This window comes from Homo sapiens, chromosome 3 (assembly GCF_000001405.40).
Source record: "Homo sapiens chromosome 3, GRCh38.p14 Primary Assembly".
Classification (NCBI taxonomy): Eukaryota; Metazoa; Chordata; class Mammalia; order Primates; family Hominidae; genus Homo; species Homo sapiens.
Window position 1 is genome coordinate 55,443,801 of NC_000003.12, and position 3,182 is coordinate 55,446,982.

Here is a 3,182-nt window from a genome sequence, read left to right on the forward strand (position 1 = left end):
TGGCACATGACAAGCATCTTACTACGTTTTTAGTGGCAGGAATTTCAGGATGGTGTGGAGCTTGTGGCTTCCCAAGTACACCTCAGGCAGAGGTTTCATGAGGTCTCGCTTCAGCTCCTCCAGGGTGCTGTGTTCTCCCTCACCCCTGGGCCTTTGCACATGGCCTGTCCATGTCTGAAACACTCTCTAATGTCCTCCCTTTTTATTTTTTGAGACAGAGAGTCTCACTCTGTTGCCCAGGCTGGAATGCAGTGGCATGATCTTAGCTCACTGCAACCTCCGCCTCCTGGGTTCAAGTGATTCTCCTGCCTCAGCCTCCCAAGTAGCTAGGACTACAGGCGCAGGCCACCACACCCAGCTAATTTTTTGTATTTTAGTAGAGACAGGGTTTTACTATGTTGCACAGGCTGGTCTTGAACTCCCGAACTCAGGCAATCCGCCGGCCTCGGCCTCCCAAATTGCTAGGATTACTGGCGTAAGCCACCACACCCAGCCTTTCCAACCTTTTTATAATCTAGTCCCTTGCTTCCAAACCCGGGTCAGTTTATCTTGTCTTAAGCTCTCATTGCTCCACGTACCTTTCCTTTAAAGAAGCAGTTCCCAAAGTGTGGTACCTTGACCCCTGAAAGTTCCCTGAAAGGGAATCTGCAAGATCAAAACTACTTTCATCAATTACTAATCATTAGGGATATACAAATTCAATCATAGTAGGTGCTCAATAAATCTTCAGAAAATGAGTAAACTGAAGTCCCACTGACAGACCCGAGGGCCAGCCTATCTGTGTGCCTCGGACAAATCCCACCTCACTAGGGTAACTGTAAATGCCATGCTTGGGGAGAGGCTGTGGAGGGCTCCTCCCTGAGGAACAAAGAGGAGGAGAAGGAGCAGAGGCAACCCCTCCCCTGGAATAGGGTGCCCCGCCCCCGGGCAAGACTGTCAGGCTCAACATGGTGCCAAAATGGGCAACTTCCCACTTGGCTCTGCATTTTTCCCATTCCTCACACATGTATCTGGAACACATTGGAAAGGGGTCAGACTGGTTTGGGTAACTCTGAACATGGGAGGTAGGGCTGGAAACCTGTGGAGAAGAGTATGACCTCTGAAAGAGTTCATGGATACGGCCAGGGTGATGCCACATGCCAGCCTGGGACAACCTCCACTCTTGTCCTACCCATCTGGAGGCCTCTGGCTCTGCCTTCACCCATCAGAGACCCTCCTGAGTCTTACTTTGATATCCCTCCCTAGCCCACTTCCTATGTTATCTTTCTCCTGTTGCCTCCCCTGACCCAAATCACAAACTCAACCCAGGCCCTGCTCCATGAATAAAAATGGTAATAATAATAGCCACAAATTATTATTTCCCATCTACTGATCCCTCATGTACCAGGTAAAAAGAGTCACACATATTCTTCCATTTTATCTTTTGAATAAGCCCTCACATCTTAGGTACTCACATTTTCATTTCATAGATGAGGAAACCGAGGGTTTAAAAAGTGACCTGATTCCCCCACGGTCATAAAGCTGAAACTCAAACCCAGAATCGTCTGACACCAAAGTTTGCTTCATAACCTCTGCACCACACCAATATCCCAAGAATATAAAATAATCAGTCTAGAAGCCAATTCATTTTCTCCCAAATCAAGGACATTTAGGAGCTTGAATGTAGGGGGAACATTCCTACTCATGGAACACAGTTATCTGCGAAAACTAGTTGAAATCTAGTTTCAAATTAAATTTTCACCACTCTCCCCAGGAGTTCACACAGGTGAGCAGCTACAAGGGACTGAAACATCCACTTCCGCGGCCCACTCCGCTCTCCAGAAGACAAGAGTCCTTCAGAACAGGGAGAAGTTTAAAAAAACACATACACACAAAACAAAACAACTTCTTTCACTTGGAATATCCCTGAGAAATCCAGGGTTAATGTTCAACTCTGGGTGTGTAGTGGAGACCAGCCCAGCCCACAGGTTCAGCGGAGCAGAGAGCAAAGAGGCCAGCCAAGGGGCACTTCCCTGCTCATGTCTCATAGTCAAGGGAAAGCACAGCCTTCCAGCCAGTGTCCACCCTCCAGGGGCGGTCAAGGTGACCAAACGGAAACTTGGTGAAAAGGCACAGATGCAATCAACATCACACAAGCTACCTCTAGGTCTACACCTGCACCATCCAAGACAGCAGTCACCATCCACCTGTGACTCCTGGAGGGTGGCTAGTCCCAAATGAGATGTGCTGCAAGAAATACAGCCCAGATCTCGAAGACTCAGTACAAGAAAAATATTAAATATCTTAATTTTCATATGAATTACATGTTGAAATGATACATATTGATAGATTATATTAAATAAATTAAAATTAACTTCACATGTTTCTTTTGTTTTTTAGATGGAGTCCTGCTCTGTTGCCCAGGCGGGAGTGCAGTGGCCTGATCTTGGCTCACTGCAGCCTTCACCTCCTGGGTTCAAGCAAGTCTCCTGCCTCAGCCTCCCGAGTAGCTGGGTTTACAGGTGCCTGCCACCATGCCTGGCTAATTTTTGTATTTTTAGTAGGGACGGGGGGGTTTCATCATGTTAGCCAGGCTGGTCTTGAACTCCTGGGTTCAAGTGATCCACCCGCCTCGGCCTCCCAAAGTGCTGGGATTACAGGCGTGAGCCACCATGCAGGGTCTTCTTTTTGCTGTTTTGAATGGGCTATTAGAAGACTTTTTAATGACATATGCGGTTGGCAATGTATTTCTATTTGACAGTGCTGTCGTGGATAAAGCACATGGTCAACCCTAGAGTCCAGGCCCTGGACACAGCACACCTGGGGTTTCTTCCTCCACCCCCTCAAATGCAGTTGGTGCAGTCACCAGCCCCACCTTCCTCTTCTTTGAATCCTGCCCCTCCCTTGCTCCAGACTTCACCAAGTCTCTGCATTACAGTTCACATCAACCCTAAGTTGCTCTTTCCAGCATCCTAAGCCACCCTGGTTGATCTGCTGGCCCCTGTCCTGACCTTAGTAAAGGGCCCCTGGAAGCTGTCTCCATACTCCTTTCATCCCTTCCGGCTTCTTGCCATGCCAGGGCCACAGGTAGAGAACAACCCCCGTCCTGCCCCTACCCTTCAGAACTTTGCCTTCCCTTCAGAAGTTTGCATGTAATCGTTCCTTCCCCTCCTAGTTAATGAGCTTCTGGCTCCCAGGGTGCA